This window comes from Homo sapiens, chromosome 16 (genome assembly GCF_000001405.40).
Source record: "Homo sapiens chromosome 16, GRCh38.p14 Primary Assembly".
Classification (NCBI taxonomy): Eukaryota; Metazoa; Chordata; class Mammalia; order Primates; family Hominidae; genus Homo; species Homo sapiens.
In genome coordinates this window covers 17,294,773-17,313,334 of record NC_000016.10, presented here as the reverse complement: position 1 = coordinate 17,313,334, position 18,562 = coordinate 17,294,773, and the positions used below count along the sequence as shown (strand labels likewise).

Below are 18,562 nucleotides of genomic sequence, written 5' to 3'. Positions count from 1 at the left end.
TTCTCTCTCCCTCCTCCAGCCCCAGCAGCCAGGGGCCTGGAGGTTGGCGGAGGGCTGAGCAGCCCAGCTTCCTGCTTCCTGGCCTCACAAGCAGGCCTCTGTGAAGTTGCCAGGGCTCCAGGGGCAGGGGCTGAGGCTCAGAACTGCAGATTTTTGTCTAGTTCTGGTGTTGGCAGGCAGCCCAGGCCAGTCCCGAGAACATCACCAGACCAGAAACCTGAGAGCAGATGAGGCAGACAGGCACACCTTTGAGCTGGGATAGAGACTATCCAGGAGCCAACAAGGCTGGGGATCTGTGGCCATGGCCCTGGGCGGACATGCCCTCTCTCCCAGCTTCCCTGCTCAGCCCCGGCCAGGGGGAGCTTTTCCAAGAGGATCCGGTTCTTTGGGATGGGTCTGGAACCTACATTTGACACCTAGAAGTCCTTTTCAAATATGAGTACCCTCAGAAACATCTCTGATCCATGAGCGAGTTTGCACTAGTTACCAGAACTTGCCGGAGAAGTAACACTGCATAGTAGCTTAGAGCTAGATTCCCTGAATTCGAGCTCCTTGGACAAGTCACTTTATTCTGTCTTTATTCTGTCTGTGCTTCAGTTTTCCCATCTGCAAAATGGGATAATAGGATTGCTGTGAAGATTAAACAGTAAATAGAATCACGGATACACACATGAGTATGTTGAAAATGGGTGAAAACAAAAACAAAATCTGCAGTCCCGTTAACAGTATTGTACTGATGTGAATTGCCTGGTTTTAATATTGCACTGCAGTTACATAAGATGTCACCATTGGGGGAAGCTGGGTGAGGGAGTGCAGAACTCTGCTATCTTGGCAACCTCCTGTGAGTCTATAATTATTATTTTTTTAAGTTAGAAAGAAAAACATGTTAATGCGGGTAAGGCCCTGAGACAAGACCCCATACATGGTAAGCGCTACAGGAATGCCAGCCCTGATGATCATGAGGATTTCAGGGATGTTTCATTGAGTCCTTCACAGTACTATGCCAGCAGGGATCTTACAGGTAACAGGAGGCAGAACTTCTGTGATCTCCAGGCCCTACCCTTCCCCTGGATCTCCCTCCTACCTGGCCTGAGCTCTGGGCACAGCAGATGAGTCACCCCCTGGGCGTGCCTGGCTTCACGCCTGCTTCATTTGGCTTGGGCAGTGCTGTGTGTCTAGAACGCCCCTCTTCCTCTTGTCTGTCGGCAAGCTCTTTTTCATCCTCCAGCTCACACCTTGACTCTTCTAGAAGGCCTTTCTGGGCCTCAGACCTCTGCTTAAACCCCCATTGATATGGTTTGGTTGTGTCCCCACCCAAATCTCATCTTGAATTGTAGCTCCTATAATTCCCTCCCTCCATGGAGGGACCCAGTGGGAGATAACTGAATCATCGGGGCAGTTTCCCCTATATTGTTCTCATTGTAGTGAATAAGTCTCATGAGATCTGATGGTTTTATAAGGGGAAACCCCTTTTGCTTGGCTCTCATTTTCCTTTTGCCTGCTGCCATGTAAGACGTGCCTTTTGCCTTCCACCATGATTGTGCGGCCTCCCCAGCCACTTGGAACTGTGAGTTCATTAAACTTATTTTTCTTAATAAATTACCCAGTCTCGGGCATGCCTTTATCAGCAGTGTGAAAACAGACTAATACACACAAGGGGGAAAGGAAACTTTTTACTGCCTAAGTTGCACAAACAGCATGAAATCAGCATCAACGTTGTTGAAGAAGGAAGGAATTCACCCACAGTCCCATGGATCTGGCTGGAAACTAAGCTGTGTGCCTGGGTCTGAGCAGTAGGGCAGCTGTTCTCGAAGCGTGGTCCTGAACCAACAGCAGCTGCATCACATGGGAAATGGAAAGAAACGCACCTTCACCTGCCACCCCCAGACTCTTGGAATCACATACTGGGGGTGAAGGCAGGGCTCTAGCAATCTGTAGTTTAACAAATCTTCCAGATGATTCTGATGAGCAGGCTACTGAAGCCCATGAGCAGCCCACGAGGCTGCTCACATGAACCAGAGGACCTAGTTAAGATGCAGGTTCTAATTCAGCCCATCTGAGGTGGGGCCTGGGAGTCTGCATTTCTAACCAGCTCCTGAGTGCTGATACTGCTGGGCTCCTTGAGGCCAAGGTCCACATCTTCTACTCTGATGTAACCCCTTCTGCTACTGTGACAATAAGAGCTTGGTGACTTGCTGTTACAATTTAAACACCGGGTAAATTTGCAGCAGGTGATTATCCTGGGCTGAAGGCAAGGAAGGGAGCCCCATCTTCATCAAGTTTGGGGCTGGAAACAAGATGCGTGTGAGCTGGAAAGGAGGCAGAAGGAAGTTCACCTTTTTCTCCGTGCTCTGACACCATGCTGTGTTTTATTCTAATGGTGTCTGGGAATGGAGCTGTGGGACATGACCCCTGAAAGAAACCCTCTTTGTCTACACTCGGAACAAAGCTCTCTCTTCCTTCTCTCCTTTATTATTATTATTTTTGAGATGGAGTCTTGCTCTGTCATCCAGGCTAGAGTGCAGTGGCACGATCTCGGCTCACTGCAACCTCTGCCTCCTAGGTTCAAGTGATTCTCCTGCCTCAGCCTCCCTAGTAGCTAGGATTTCAGGTGTGTGCCACCACGCCTGGCTAATTTTTGTATTTTTAGTAGAGATGGGGTTTCGCCATGTTAGCCAGGCTGGTCTTGAACTCATGACCTCATGATCCACCTGCCCTGGCCTCCCAAAGTGCTGAGATTACAGGCATGAGCCACTGCGCCGGGCCTGCCTTTTCCCCATTTATGCACTTACTTATTCCACAGATGTTTACTGACCCTGAGTAGGAGGAGGGCACATTATTGAGCAGAAGATGCAATTCCTGCTCTCAGGCCACATCACTATCTGGTGGGGACAGATGCCAGTCACTGAGTGGGACTGTGATAAGTGAAATGGGATTAAATTCCCAGTGTACGGAGACTGTATGACTGTGAGTCTTGACCCAAAGGGAACAGGAGCCTTTCCCCGGGGAAGTGACATTTAAGCTGAAAGGAAGAAGTGTAAATGGAATGAAGATTAATTTAGCAAGAGGAAGTGGCATGTGCAAAGGTCCTGGTGTGAGTGAAAACCTGGTAATGGCTAAAGATACTGCCCAGAAGCAAGAGGGGAAAAGTAGGGCTGGAGGGAAGTGAATGAACCCAAGGGAGACTGAGGAATCAGGAAAGGATTTTAGCTGGGGAGGAAAAGGAAGGTGTTCAAGAAGTGTGCGGGCATTTTGTTGCAGCTCATTCCTGAAATCAGGTCCCAGAAGTTTCAATCTGATCCCATCTTTACAGGGATGATGTGTTCCCACTCCCAGCCTCCAAATTGAGCTGCCTTTGAGCACACACGGCATCTCTTCCCTGCCACCCCTGGCCCCTGGGGCCCCTACCCCCGTGACCTATGCATTTTATTTCACTCCCCACATAGCCTTTCTCACCATCCACCAAAAGGTTAAGTTCACAAGCAAGAAGCATGATTTTTCCACCACTAAGCCCAGAACCACAAGCACACATCTTAACCCTGTTAATCTTCTTGACTGCAATGGCTCATTCGCAAAATAAAGGCATTAAACCATTTGGGACAAGAAGTGCTTCCAAAGAATCCCTTTGAAGGCAGAGGAATGAGATGCAGGTTCAGGGTTGTGGATGTTTAAGGCCATATCCACGTGAAATCTGCAGCGCTGGAAAAATAGGTTCTTGGAAAATTTCCCCTCTTAACAAGGCACAGCACAGACAGTACACTCTAGGAACACCCTCCTGTTTCAGAGAAACCAAGCTGATGCATGTCCATGAAGAGCCTCCCTCCCACCCGTTCATTATGGCTGAAGCAGCCCAGGCAAGCCAGAGGGCTTGCCCTACCCAGGTATGGGGTGGTCAGCGTTGATCCCTCTCCCCTCCATCCCTGCCTTCTTTCAACAAGTATTTGCTGAGTGAGGACCCACGGTGTGTCAGACACTATTTTAGACTAGCAACTCTCAACTGGGGGTAATTAGGCCTCCCCAAGGGACATTTGGCAATGTCCAGAGACATTTTTTTAGTTGTTACAACTACGGGGGACGGATGCTACTGGCATCTAGTGGGTAGAGCCAAGGATGCTGCTCAACATCCTACACTGCATAGGACAGCACTCACCCAAGACGGAATGATCCAGCCCAAAATGTCAGCAGTGTCAAGGTTGAGAAACTGTGTTGTAGACCCTTGCGTGTCTCTGAGCCGCCTTTCCACCTCTCCTACTTTGCATTAGGCGCATATCTTTCTAGCTCTCTCTGATTGCTAGGCTCTGGGCTAGACGTTTGTTTTTCCTTGAACCTTTTTTTTTTATTTTTATTTTTTGCTTTTGCTCACGTTTACGTTCCTCTTTTGATCTTTTGTCTCCATCAACCAAGATGTATACAGTATCCGCTATTTTGCGCCAGACACTGCGCTAAATGCTCTTTGTATTTTACTTCTAATCCTCATGACAATTAGAGGAGATAGATGTTATTTTCCTTGCAGAAAATAATAAATTTCATTTATTGGGCATCTACCATGTGTCAGGTACTGGGAAACCTATTGATTTCTAATCTTCATAGCAACTCTGACTAAATTAGGTTTTCTAATCCCATTTACCCTGAAACTGGGTCTTGGAGAAGAGTAGGGTATTGTTCAAGTTCACATGCCAAGGAAGTTCTAAAGAAGCTAGGGATTGTGGTGGTCTTTGGGTAGGAAAGCAAGTGTGGACCGAACCAGCTTGCAAGGGTGCAAATACAGTTTCCGTCTTTGAACCCAAACCACCCTAGAGAAAGGAAGAGAGAAGTGACCGTTCTTTGTAGATAGAGCTGTATCTTCACCTTACAGGGAGCTGGGTGAGGAGAGGAAAGGTTCTAAGGAGAAGGGAAGTAATCTCTTCATTCAGGGCCTGTCCTGTGCCTGGTGTTGGACTCTGTCCTTATTTAATCATCTCAGCACTTCTCCAAGTAACTTTTAAAGCAGGCTTAGTCAACTTGGACATGCTTTTGAGGCCCAAAGGGAGAAATCAGTTCCCTAAGAGCTGCTAACTTAAGTGGCAGGGTCCAGGGTGGAGCTCAGGTCTCCTGGTCTCTCACCCAACAGAAAGCTTACTGGCACCATCTTGGGAGGTTGGGGTTGTGGGATGTGTCTACAGGAACTGGACATACTTTTCAATTCTCCGTGCCCCTTTGCCATGTTACGAAGCCTTCAAGCTCTCTCACTCTGCTTTGGTTCATTGTAGATCTTGAGAAATGCCAACTGACTGACTGATGGACACACTGAGGGTATATCCCACCACCAGCATACACTGCAGATCATGGAGAGTGGGGAATGGATCTGCAGTCCATAGAATACCCAATAGCAAGTCTCTCTGACTATTTTTGAGACTCTTTATTTTAGAGACTTCCAGGCATCAGTCCCTCTGCAGACCCCAGCAGAGGAAGGTGGTGCACCTTTAACCCTTCACTGCCCTCTCCTTAGAGGCTGTGCTTACCCCTGCTGGGTTTTCTCTCCATGAGCAATTGCCCAGTTGAATTCCATTTATAGACTCTGCCTCCTGGGGTGCAGGAAGGCCCTGGGTATGGAAGCATTCCAAGCCCCGATCAATCCCTTCTTTTATTCAGGGGCAAAGTTACAAATGGGCCAGAGTCATTGGAAAGATTTTCCAGCTCACTGTGCAGAGAAGCCCTCTTATGAAAGATGTATTGATGAATCCCCTTGTACCAGGATGTTACTGGCCTCTTCAAGGCAGGAAATAAGTATCTGCTGGCTCTCTCTCTGCCATAAAAACTCTCTTTCAGATCAGATTTCCTCTGCACCCAAGCACATTTGATTTAAATCATTTCACTGCAAAATATAAATAAAATAGAGATGACTCCTGTAATGAAAAAGAGAAACACCTCAGTAATACAGTTTTGACTTCCAGAAAATAAGGCATTAAAACTGCAGACTCGGCCAGGCATGGTGGCTCATGCCTATAATCCCAACATTTTGGGAGGCCGAAGCGGGCCGATCACGAGGTCAGGAGTTCGAGACCAGCCTGACCAGCATGGTGAAACCTCATCTCTACTAAAATGTAAAAATTACTGGGCGTGGTGGTCTACACCTATAATCCCAGCTACTCAGGAGGCTGAGGCAGGAGAATTGCTTGAACCCGGGAGGCGGAGGTTACAGTGACCTGAGATAATGTCATTGCACTCTAGCCTGGGCAGTAGAGTGAGACTCCGTCTCAACAACAACAACAACAACAACAAAAACCCCACAAAACTGCAGGCTCATATAACTACCAGATTCTCAGGTCCATTTATTTCAGGTAGCACAAGTGAGTAACCGCCAGTACGTGCACCTCTACAGAGACTACACTCCCAAGTTCAGGCTTCAGCTCTGACTCACTCTAGCTGTGTGACCTTGGGCAAGTCACCCTGCCTCTCTGGGCCTCAGATTCTTCCTCTGCATAGTGAAGGGGCTGGAAGAGATGCCTCTAATACCCTTTTGACTTCATGAATGTAAGGACATTCAAGACTAGGAAACTCAAAATTCCCAAGGGGATATATTTCTAGGAATTTGGATGTTTAATCTTACCAAAGGATTCATGTCCTCATGAATGGGGTACCTTAAAGTTGTGACTTTTCATGTATATAAAAAGATTTTAAGAAATTTATTCATATCCAGTTTTTTGGAAGTCTGTCTGCTGCATAAAGTGAAACACACACGTATAGAGGAATTGTATCTTACTTAGACTTAGAGGGAATATATATATATATATATATCTTTTGTGACAGTCTCACTCTGTCACCCAGGCTGGAGTGCAGTGGTGTGATCTCAGCTCACTGCAGCCCCTGCCTCCTGGGTTCAAGCCATTCTCCTGCCTCAGCCTCCAGAGTAGCTTGGAGTATACACATGCGCGCCGCCTGCCTCGGCCTCCCAGAGCGCTGGGATTACAGGCGTGAGCCACTGTGCCTGGCTGACCTTAAGGCTTCAAAGTCAGTATATAGGGTGAAAATGGTGTGTAGCTCGAATTTTTCTCCTCTCATTTATTATCTGTCTCTTGTTCTCTCTCTCCCAATGTTCTCGCTCCTATTCTCTTGTTCTTTTTCCCTCTCCCAACCGCTTATATTTGCATTCTCCCAATCTGAGTACACACAGACTGTGGCTCCTAAGAGAAGAAAGCACTTGGTAAGTTACCCTGAAATTTCCACATACAGAGGGAGGGTAAAGAGCTTCGGCAGTCCTTTGGCACCCAGAGGCTCTCTGGGTTGGCTTTTTAATCCTGTCTCCTTTTCAGGGGTACCTCCTTCTGTTTGGGTCAGGGAAGGGACATCACAGCAGTTCTCAGCAGGTTCTCAGAGGGTACTGTCCCTTCCTGTCCTTAGCCAGAGGAGTGAGAGGATGAGTCAGACTCAGGTTAGAAGAAAGAAGTGACTGCCCCCACAGGGACTCCCCACCACGGCGGTGTCAGGGGAAGGGGAATCTGAACACAGGACTGACTGTTTCTAACATGTGTGGGCTCTTTTCATGTGGAAATAAAGTTCTCCGGAAGTCAGAGTCTGGGGTTTGCCGGGTCCTTATAGTTACAAATGCTTAGTCGAGCAATACTTCGTCTGTTTAATGCTGTTAAGAAAGAAGGTATTCACGTCTATAATCCCAGCACTTTGGGAGGCGGTGGTGGAGGGATCATGAGGTCAGGAGATCGAGACCACCCTGGCCAACATGGTGAAACCCTGTCTCTACTAAAAATACAAAAGTTAGCTGGGCGTGGTGGTGCATGCCTGTAATCCTAGCTACTCGGGAGGCTGAGGCAGAAGAATCGCTTGAACCCAGGAGGCGGAGGTTTCAGTGAGCCGAGATCGCACCACTGCACTCCAGCCTGGGTGACAGAGTGAGACTCCATCTCAAAAAAAAAAAAAAAAGAAGAAGAAGAAGGTATTCTGTATTATATGTAAATATTAAGAAAACTAAAGCTGCACACACATACACACAAACTCCATTCTGCTGTTCGCTCTTATCCAGAGGACATTTTGTTTTGGAAACTAGATAGGGAAAGTAGTGAGATTAGTTACTGTAGTCTTAGGCTCACATTGGACACATGAACTGGAATCTAAGTTGGAGAATGACTCCCATCCTGTCCTGGGTGGTCAAGACAAGGGGGCATCCTGATTTGGGGAACTGGGATGGCTTTGCAGTCAGCACTTTGCTGAACCTCTGTCGCCTCCTTTGTACAATAGGGAGATGATGCAGGCTCATCATCAGGAGTTAGTGAAATTAAACATGACCCCCGGCCCACAGTGGGCACCCTGCGGCACTGAGTGGTGCTATAAACATGCAAGGACTTCCAGATCATTCCTGTGCCATCTGGAAGCTGTCACCCTTTCTTTCTGGGCCTACAGCTGCAATCTTGGTGAGTTTGCCAAGAAACTTAGCATTGAAATGTCATAGGGTAGTGTTAAATTTTACTATCCAAACCCAAGGCCTCATCTGTGCCAAGTTGGGGGATATACAAATGAATAGATATATTTATCTTGAATGCTTTGAGAGTATTCAGAGAAAATAGGTTACCTTCCCAAGCAGCCTTACTCACCGTGGGCAAAGAAGTAACTGGTAGTGGTTTAACTGGTCCAGCAACTTTGGTCAGAGCCTGTTTGGTTCCCATGACTTTTTGTGGGAAAAAAAAAATCTTAACTGTGGATTTACCAGGTTGTTGACATATGACGCTTTTGGACGTAGGCTTACAGCAGGTTGAGGGCCAAGAAAACATGTCAGCTATTTCAAAGGAGCTGAGCTTGAAGAACTAGCTGAAATAAAACATGTTACAATCACTTTAACACCCTCCCCTGCGCGGTCCAAATGGTCCAAATCCCTGCAGCATTTTTTCGCAGCATGCTTATACCATCCACATACAGCATTTCTGTGACTGGAGGACAGTATTGTGTTGGCAACAGCTTTGGGGAGGAAGGAGGGGGAAAAAAAGACACACTGACAGAGATAGTCATCTTTGCACCTGCCCTTACCTGTGCCTGAAGCCAGAATTCCAGCACATCTGCTCCTCACCTGCCTCTGGTCTTTGATCAAAGGTCATTTTGGGAGGAATGCTATCCCAGCCATTGCTCTGAAAATTGCAAACTGCTGCTCTCCTCTGTTCCTCTGATCTACTTTTTTTTCCCTTCACCACGATGGTTATTACCAACTGACAGACTTTAAGGTGTTACTGCCTTCTTACCTTCCAACATAAGCATAAATTATGCCTTCTTACCTTCCAACGTTAGCATAAATTGATGTCTTATGAACTATCATATATATCTGCATGCACCTGTACACACACACACACACACGCACATGTATATACACACATGCATTGCTCACATATGTATTTTGTTCCTGTATCTTGTGTGTCTGCCACATCATTTGCTCTTAACAAATACAAATTAATAAATCATATGTACACAGTGTTTATAAGATAAGCCTCAGTTCCAGAAATGTCAAAATGATGGGAAAAAAAATCTTCATCTGAAAAATCAGGAGAATGTGGTCAAATGCCTGGATTGTCTAGATTGAGGTCCCATTGATCAACTAATCATACCTGTTTCTAGAATCAGAGTGAAAAGGCTGAATGTGTTTTAAAGACAGACATGTGGCGTGAAATGATTCCTCCTCTTACTCCCAGCCATTGTAATATCATTAGTAATGAAAATGTAAAAGGATTGTAGGTGTCTGTGTTCTGGGCTTATTTCTTAGAGCTTTTCCTAGAACCCTCACAATGGCCCTCTTATGCCAGTTTTATGGCAGAGAAAACTGGGGACTCACGGGGGCATCAACATGTCTCTTTGTTTATTGGAAACATTTTTATATGCTCACAAATAATATGCAACAGCAACAGTAATAGCAGCTAAAGCAGAAGTGTGCAAACTGTCTGTAGAGGACCAGATAGATTAGTAAATATCTGAGCCTTTGCTGGCCACATGGGCTCTGTCACCGCTAAGCAGTTCTGCCAGCGTGGCTGTACAGTAGCTGTAGATAATATGCAAATGAACGGGAGTGGTTGTGTACCAATAAAACTTTGGTTCGCAAAAGAGGATTGCAGGCCAGATTTGGTCTTAAAGCTGTAGTTTGCCAACCCCTGAACTAAATATGATTTCCATGAGGGCAGGAACCACGTCATTATTTTTTACATCATTGTATCTCATGCAGGGAGCCCAATTCTTTGCACATGGTAGTTCTTGAATGAATGAATGAGTAAACCAAGGAATCAGTGAGTGGTCTGTCTTTCAAGATCCATCACGACTGAAGCTCCAGTCCTCCCCTTTCCTTTCCCATGTACTCCCCTTCCCTACCCATACTGCCAACCCTACCCCAGCTTATCCCCTTGCATTAAGCTCACGGTCACATGTGTGCTCACTTGCTAGCTCTCTCTCGCTTTCTCTTTTCTCTCCCCCTCACCCATTCTAGACCCAAGGTCAACCCCTTCCTTCCCTAGTCTTCCTCAAAAGCCTTGGGGGATTGAGTAACCCGTTATTGTGCCAGTGGTGGCTTTTTTCTGGAACCTTTTGAAGTTCTGTGGTTTGTTGATTCATCTCTTTACACCCATCCCTCTTTCAGGAAGGGTTTATGGCAGTCTGCATGGGTGTACTAAACAAAATAAGACTGCAAAAATTAAAACTGAGACAAAGAAAGGAAACACAACCATAGGACCATCATACCTTGGAGCTGGAATAGGTATTAACACCTACACCATGGTGGGGAACTGGAGATTTGACAAAGAGCTTTCTGGCTGCCATCAAGGAAAACAAATCTGTCCCTTCCACTGCCCTGTATCCAAATAATTGACACAGGCCATTGCTCATGGCAGGTGGATCTGTTCTCAGTGCTCAGTTCAGATGGAAATTTCTCCAGAGGGCCTCACAAGAGGAGGAAGAGGAAGGACCAGCAGGCTTTGCAGCTTGCTAACAGCAGACAGGATGAGGTATTCATGGCTGTCTGCTACGACGGTGTCCCCTGGTCTAGACTCGACATCTTATGCTGATACTCAGCAGAGTAAGGACACATCCTGGTACCTGGGCCTGGGTTGACCTCGACATGTATTTTTTTATTATTATTATTATTAGTAGTAGTAGTAGTAGTAGTATTTTGAGATCGAGTCTTGCTCTGTCACCCAGGCTGGAGTGCAGTGGCACAATCTTGGCTCACTGCAACATCCACCTGGTGGGTTCAAGCAATTCTCCCATCTTAGCCTCCTGAGTAGCTAGGGTGTATGCCACCACGCCTGGCTAATTTTTGCATTTTTAGTAGAGATGGGGTTTCACCATGTTGGCCAGATTGGTCTTGAACTTCTGACCTCAAATGATCCGCCCACCTTGGCCTCCCAAAGTGCTGAGATTACAGGCATGAGCCACTGTGCCGAGCCCTGACATGTATTTTAGGGAAGCTACCAGAACAAACAGACCATGTGGTCTCCAAGCACCACTGGAGCATAAAGAGGAAGCTCTTAGTCTGAGAGAGAGACCAGGTGAAAATTCCAGCTCAGATGCTGACCTCTGGCCTAGTCTTTCCACTTTTGTAAACCTCCGAGTCTTCATCTAAGAAGTGAGAGTTGATATTAGCATTCGCCACCTGTTGTTGCGGTGGAGTCTGATGAAACGCCTTCGCACTGTGGCCTTTGCATCTATTATTGTATTTAAACTTGGCAGCGACATTGCAAGGTAAATGTCACCCCATCTGCTTCACGCTGTTCTGAGTACTTTAGCTCAGTATTACTCAAGCATTACTTTCTTTCATTATCACCCTCCCAAGAAGAAAAATTTAATTTAATATAAATTCTCCCTTGTGAGAGAAATTAAATACTGTGGGAAAAGATTTTATCAGATAGGGTTGAGCTTTGGGGGACGGCTGACCATTGCAATATCTAAGACTATTATTATTATTTTGAGACAGAGTTGTGTTGTGTTGCCCAGGCTGGAGTACAGTGGTGCAATCTTGGCTCAGTGCAACCACTGCCTCCTGAGTTCAAGGGATTTTCGTGCCTCAGCTTCCTGAGTAGCTGGGATTATAGGCGCCCGCCACCATGCCTGGCTAATTTTATATTTGTAGTAGAGACAGAGTTTCACCATGTTGGCCAGGCTGGTCTCAAACTCCCAACCTCAACTAATCCACCCGCCTCAGCCTCCCGAAGTGCTGGGATTATAAGTATGAGCCACTGTGCCCAGCCTAAGATTTTTTTTTTCTCACACACATATACTCCCCCAAATTTTGCTTGCTTGGTGGGGGTGACAGTCATCCCTATTGAGAATATGTGCTTTAGATATACAAACTAACTCCTATTAAAGCTCTAGTTGAGAGAGAAAGGAACGGAGGCCCAGAGAGGTAAAGTAACATACCCAGAGTTGCACAGCTAATGAGAAAGGATCTGAATTGTCTTATGGATTGCTCTAGACGGTGCTTAAAGCACAGTCTAACTTATAGCAGCAAACTGTACGTGTTATTTTGTGTCTTGCTTTTGTCGCTTACCTATCTAGCTCATCGATTGTTCTGGTTCAGTATATATATCATGGCCCCCATTCTTTTTAATAGCTGCATTAGGCTGGGCGCGGTGGTTCACATCTGTAACTCCAGCACTTTGGGAGGCTAAGGTGGGCAGTCATCTGAGCCCAGGAGTTCCAGACCAGCGTGGCCAAGGTGGTGATGAAACCCCGTCACTACTAAAAACATGAAAATTAGCCAGGTATGGTGGCAGGTGCCTGTAACCCCAGCCACTCGGGAGGCTAAGGCAGGAGAATCACTTGAACCCAGGAGGCAGCAGTTTCAGTGAGCCGAGATCGTGCCGCTGCACTCCAGACTGGGTAACAGAACAAGACTCCATCTCAAAAAAAAAAAAAAAAAAAAAAGAAAGAATGAAAGAAAGAAATAGCTGCATTATTTTGCATTTGCATTCACATAGCATGGTTTATTTAACCATACCACAACTGCTGAGGCTGAAGTGGTTTCTAGTCTTTGGCAATTAAAAACTCGCCATAGCAATCCTCCCTACACGCATATCATTTTGCTTAAATGCAAGTTAAATGTGAAGGTTACATGCCTAGAAATGAAGTCTGTGCACACTTCTTAAAAGATAGCATTTTGTCAGAGGCACAAAAATATCTCCACAAAGCTAAGATTCTTACGGAGCCATCCAAGGTCAGTTTTCACCATGTTCTTAACAGCTAAGCCACTCTTTTGACCCCCAAATTCCTCCCGACCTGGTTATTGATTTAGCTGTGGGCTCCCCACCCCCGCCACCTTTTATGCCTTTGGTCACCAGATTATCCTCTTGTCATCTGGTATTTCCCTACCAGGCTTCCCACAGTTTATTTTTGAACTTCAGTTCTCATCTCATTAACAGAAAGCCTAGGCGGCCAGATTCCATTCCTGCTGCCGGGGTCAGTGCTTTGAAAAAGGGTCGTTAATAAAGCAGCATCATAGCTTATCCTGGGTCCTTCATGTCCACCAGGATGGGGGAAAAGCAGAATCCTTCCTGTGTCCCTCGTCTTTCTGAAACTTTTCTCTAAGAACTCGAACCAGTCTCATTCTGCAGACCTTCCTGGGCCTTCATTATATAAGAGCTATGTTCTGGCAGTTAGGGAAATCTAGCATGAGTGGCCCCCATTCAATTCTGCAGGGGACAAAAAGCCTCTCTTCTCCTAAAGCTTGCTGGTAAGTCTCTATGGCAGAGTCAAGGCTAAATCAACTCCCACATATGGCGACCTCAGCTAGAGAAGCGAGGTGGAAGGGACGCTAGCAATTCAGAGGGTGTCTTTAGCCCCTGTGCAGCAGCGTCGTCTGTAATTAAAGCTGGCTGCACTATTAATATCATCTGAGTAATTAAACTCAATGGTGTTTGGCAATAGTTTGTTCTGGAAGTTCCTTGAGGAAGAGCGGGTTAACGGGATGGAGAGGGCTGCATGGTATTTTGTGCAAATGGAATCTTTTGGCCTCCTTTATCTGGTCCTGAAGCCTGCTGGGGCTTACTGCCACCCCCTCTTCATTCTGTTATTTCCCCCAATTCACATTTGCTGATGAAACATGGTGGCCAGGTTGATAAAGGCATGGAGCTGGATGCTCTGGTGGTGGTGGGTTAACCACGTGCATTTCCCGTCTGCCTTAAGTGCAGTAGGTGCCCAGAAATGGATTTAATGCATCCAGGCATTCATTCCACAAATATTTACCCAATGCCTGTCATGTGCCAGGGTTTGTGCATACTGAAGGGACATAAAAAAGTAGCTTGCGTTCTAGTTGGAAGATTTAGACAATAGGCAAATACATAATATTATATATAAATAGAATATATTCAGACAATAAGCAAATATATATTATACATATTAATAATAGACATTGTAGATTATAATTATAATCTTTAATAGCCCAGAGAGTGATACGTGGCCTGAGGAGCAACATAATTAGAGGAATGGGGAATGCCTATGGGGCAGGGGGTGGTGGCTCTCATAGGGCGTGTCCTCTGACAAGTTGCTTGAGGAGTGAACCATGAGGATATCCAGACGGATATTTTTCCTGGCCTGGAGAACAGCAAGTGCAAAGGCCCTGAGGCAAGTGACAGCATTTGCATTAGGAAGCAGCAGCTGACGGTCTATGAAGAGCAGCACAGGAGGTCAGAGCTGAAGGACCTTCAGTGGAGCCCCTTCCCTGCCGGGTGAAGACTGAGGCCAGAGAGGGGAGAGCTGACTGTCCCAACTCAATCTCGCACAGCAGCAGGTAGACCAGTTTTTCAGGACTCCCACCTCCCATCCTTACGCTTCACAGAGACTTTAAGGGACCTCAGAGCAGCAGGAAAGGTGCTAAGCAACCCGGTTCAACTCTGCAGTCCTCCACTCAATAGCAGTGTGGTATAAATGACGTCAGCTCCTTGAGCCTCATCTTCCTCATCTGTAAAATGGGAACAGTGAGGGCACTCGCCACCAGGCGTGCTGTGAAGATGAGATGAGATCTCCTGGGCTCTGCGTGTGGCATGGGGTGGCTGTGCAGGGAACGTTAGTTATGGGCCAAGGTTTTTTGGTCCTGCAACTGGACACACTATACCTCCAGCCCATTCCCTCGCCCCCACTAGATGTGACACCATCCGTCTCCTCATGGCTGTCACCTGACGGAACCGATTTTACACTCATTTTGACTTGTTTTGTAAGGGAGGGTCTGGTTTTCTCTTGGAGACAAAAATTTTGGCAAGTGAGACCTTACAGGATGTGCTCCAGTTTCCTCATCTGTAGAATGGAGCCGTGATAGCTCTTAACACTGGCTCCCTCGGCAGGAATAATTTTTTTTTTTTTTTTGAGACGGAGTCTCGCTCGTCGCCCAGGCTGGAGTGCAGTGGCGCGATCTCGGCTCACTGCAAGCTCCACCTCCCGGGTTCACGCCATTCTCCTGCCTCAGCCTCCCGAGTAGCTGGGACTACAGGCACACACCACCACGCCCGGCTAATGTTTTGTATTTTTAGTAGAGGCGGGGTTTCACCGTGTTAGCCAGGATGGTCTCGATCTCCTGACCTCATGATCTGCCCGCCTCGACCTCCCAAAGTGGTGGGATTACAGGCGTGAGCCACCGCGCCCGGCCTTTTGTTTTGTTTTATAGAGACAAGGTCTCACTCTGTGGCCTAGGTTGGAGCACAGTGGCATGATCATGGCTCACTGCAGCCTCGACCTCCTAGGCTCAAGTGATCCTCCCACCTCAGCCTCCTGAGTAGTGAGGACTATAGGCATGGGCCCCCATACCAAGCTAAGTTTTTTTTTTTTTTTCATTTTCTTTAGAGATGGGGTCCTCACTTGTTCTCCAGGCTGGTCTTGAACCGCTGGCCTCAAGTGATCTTGCCTTGGCTTCCTAGAGTGCTGGGATTACAGGCGTTCTCCATGATACCCAGCTAAGTTTTTTACTTTTCCTAGAGACACCGTCGGTGGGGGCGGGTCTCACTTTGTTGCCCAGGCTGTTCTCGAACTCCTGGCCTCAAGTGATCCTCCTGCCTTGGCTTCCTGGAGTGCTGGGATTATAGGCGTGAGCCACTGCACCCGTGCTGATATATATTATAAGGACCCAGCATGGCAGTACACATGAGAAGTTCAAAGTGCTCTGTGTTGGGTGGTGTTACTAATAAAACATGGATTTGGAGGCAGATGGAAAGGGGATTCATTTCCCTGACTCAAGCAAGTGCTTTATCCTTTGAGACCTCAGCATTTTCATATGAAAATGGAATATCCAATACTGCATTGAGTTGTTAGGAGAATTCGATAAACATAAATCTAAAGCATTGAGCACAATGTCTAGCTCACAAGAGTCACTAAATAGTACTTCTGCTTCCTCCTCTCCATTCATTTCCACTCTTCTACCAAAAGAAACTCGGAAAGTCATTCCTGATTATTTGTATTTGATTCCATTTTACAGATAAGGAAATTGAGACTCAAAGACCTTAGACTGTAACACAGCCAGGAAGTGGAGGAGCGGGGATTTGAACCCCGGTGGTTTGTGTCAGTCTGGAGAACATCCCCTTTGCCCTCGCTAATATCAGAGTTCACCCTGGATTCTTAATGCTTTGATTTGACTGATCCCTGAGCTGATGGAGAAAAGCCAGATTCTTGCAGCCTGTCCTTCTCTGTCTTTGGTGTAAGCCAGAGGTCAGCTGAGCCCTGGAGAAATCGGATTTGTCCCCAGTTGGCCCCGGGCTCTGCGCTCCTGCCCATCAGAGCCCAGACACCCCTGCTGGCATTGATGTCAGATTCACCTCGCAGTTTTATTCTCAGAGCCTCTCTGGTATCTTGCACGTCTAATTTCCTGTCCCCTGGGGCCTTGGCTGATTAGCCTTTGATTATTCACAAACAGAGAGGCAGGAACAGGGAATCGGGTCCTCTGCTTTAATCACCCACACAAAATTTAGGCAAGGCTGTAGGTTTCTGGAAGGAGCAGGGCTAGGATTTGGAGATTAGAGGTGAAAGCACTAAAAAAATCACCCGCGAAGCCCCAGCCCCATCTCTGCAATCTTTACATGGGGATAAACGCGCTGAGCCTGCCTCCTGTGGTACCCCAACACCCCCCAGGCCTTGCTAAACATGGTTTGGTTTAGGTTTGTTTTGTTTTGTTTTGTTTTGTTCCCTTGGACTGCTCCCTAGCCACCTCCATGTTACCGCAGCTTTCCAAGAAGTCACTTTTGTTGTCACTAGGCCAGAAGACAGTTGGCATCCTTTTAGGTCCCACATAAAATAGGACATTTCAAAACCAGGAGTTCCACTGTGTGCTTTTGGCGCAGGGAGAAAAAAAAAAAAAAGGTGTCTTTTCTTTCTTCCTTACTCTATGAATGCGAGAAATGGTTTGGAGGAAGATGAAACACCTCCAGATTTACAGTCTGTGTTATCATCAGTGCAAGCACAGAGGGGGTTCATTCATTCACCAAATAATCCCAGCTCATTCAGAGCAAAAGCCAGAGGCCTTACAGTGGTCTAGATTTGAACTTGTTGACATGTGGGGCCAGATCATTCTTAGTTGTGGAGGGTCGTCCTGTGCATTACAGGATATTAAGCAGCATCTCTGGACTCTACCCACTAGTTGCTGGTAGCATTCCCCTTCCCCAAGTGTGACAACAAAAATGTCTCCAGACATGGCAAGATGTCCCCTGTGGGTCAAGTTGACCCAGTTAAGAACTATAGCTCTTGGGTCGGGTGTGGTGGCTCACGCCTATAATCCCAGGACTTTGGGAGGTCAAAGTGGTCAGATCACCTGAGGTCAGGAGTTCGAGACCAGCCCGGCCAACCTGGTGAAACCCCATCTCTACTAAAAATACAAAAATTGTCTGGGCATGGCAGCACACACCTGTAATCCCGGCTACTCTGGAAGCTGAGGTGGGAGAATTGCTTGAACCTGGGAGATGGAGGTTGCAGTGAGCCGAGATCGTACCACTGCACTCCAGCCTGTGTGACAGGGCAAGAATCTGTCTCCAAAAACAAAACAAAACAAAACAAAACAAAACAAAACAAAAACCTGGCTCTATAATGCTTTATTGATCTATCCCCCATTTCTTCCTGACCTAAGCTTCTGTTTTTCATCTTTTACTTCCTCCACCCTGGCTTCTTTGCTGGTCTCCACCAGCAACGTGAGGCTTGCTGTCACCTCAGGGCCTTTGCACAGCAGTTTCCCTGTCCCCGAAATGCTTTTTCCCAGTTAGCCAAGCAGCATGCTCACTTACCCACTGGGAGTCTTTGCTTATACCTCACCTTTTCAGTCTAAAGCCTGCCTTGACCACCTTATTAAGAAATGCACCCATTGCATCATCCTAACCACTGACTTCTCTCTTCTACCCTATTCTGTGCACTATTTGTTATATCTGTCATCTTTCTGTGTCCCTGTGCTAGAATAAAGTTCTGTGAAGGCAAGGGTTTTGTTGCCATTCTTCGTAGATGCCTCCCAAGCCCTTGGATGTTACTTCTTTTATGGAATTGTCATCTAGTACCTGCTGTATACCTACACCATGCACTGTCTGGACACCAGGAATAAGGGTGCTTGTACCTGCCCCAAACGACCCTAGAACTGTCATTTTCA

General features: G+C 46.8%; 1 protein-coding gene across 3 annotated transcripts in view, besides 3 other annotated features; it reads left to right on the top strand.

The window, feature by feature from the left end:
• The window catches only part of XYLT1 (xylosyltransferase 1), a 369,192-nt gene that overhangs the window by 157,626 nt on the left and 193,004 nt on the right, over nucleotides 1–18,562 (top strand). The gene's annotated exons all lie outside the window — the stretch shown is intronic.
• Nucleotides 6,934–7,434: an enhancer, noted in NCBI's record as "H3K4me1 hESC enhancer chr16:17399758-17400258 (GRCh37/hg19 assembly coordinates)". NCBI's record gives its function as "activates a minimal SCP1, AML or CMV promoter by ChIP-STARR-seq in primed H9 embryonic stem cells {active_cell/tissue: H9 hESC(primed)}" and the evidence as "EXISTENCE:reporter gene assay evidence [ECO:0000049][PMID:30033119]".
• Nucleotides 9,852–9,921: a silencer, noted in NCBI's record as "silent region_7235". NCBI's record gives its function as "represses an Ori minimal core promoter by ATAC-STARR-seq in GM12878 lymphoblastoid cells {active_cell/tissue: GM12878}" and the evidence as "EXISTENCE:reporter gene assay evidence [ECO:0000049][PMID:35858748]".
• Nucleotides 16,442–16,716: a silencer, noted in NCBI's record as "fragment chr16:17390476-17390750 (GRCh37/hg19 assembly coordinates)". NCBI's record gives its function as "represses an EF-1alpha promoter that drives an FKBP-Casp9 reporter gene in an ReSE screen in K562 erythroleukemia cells {active_cell/tissue: K562}" and the evidence as "EXISTENCE:reporter gene assay evidence [ECO:0000049][PMID:32094911]".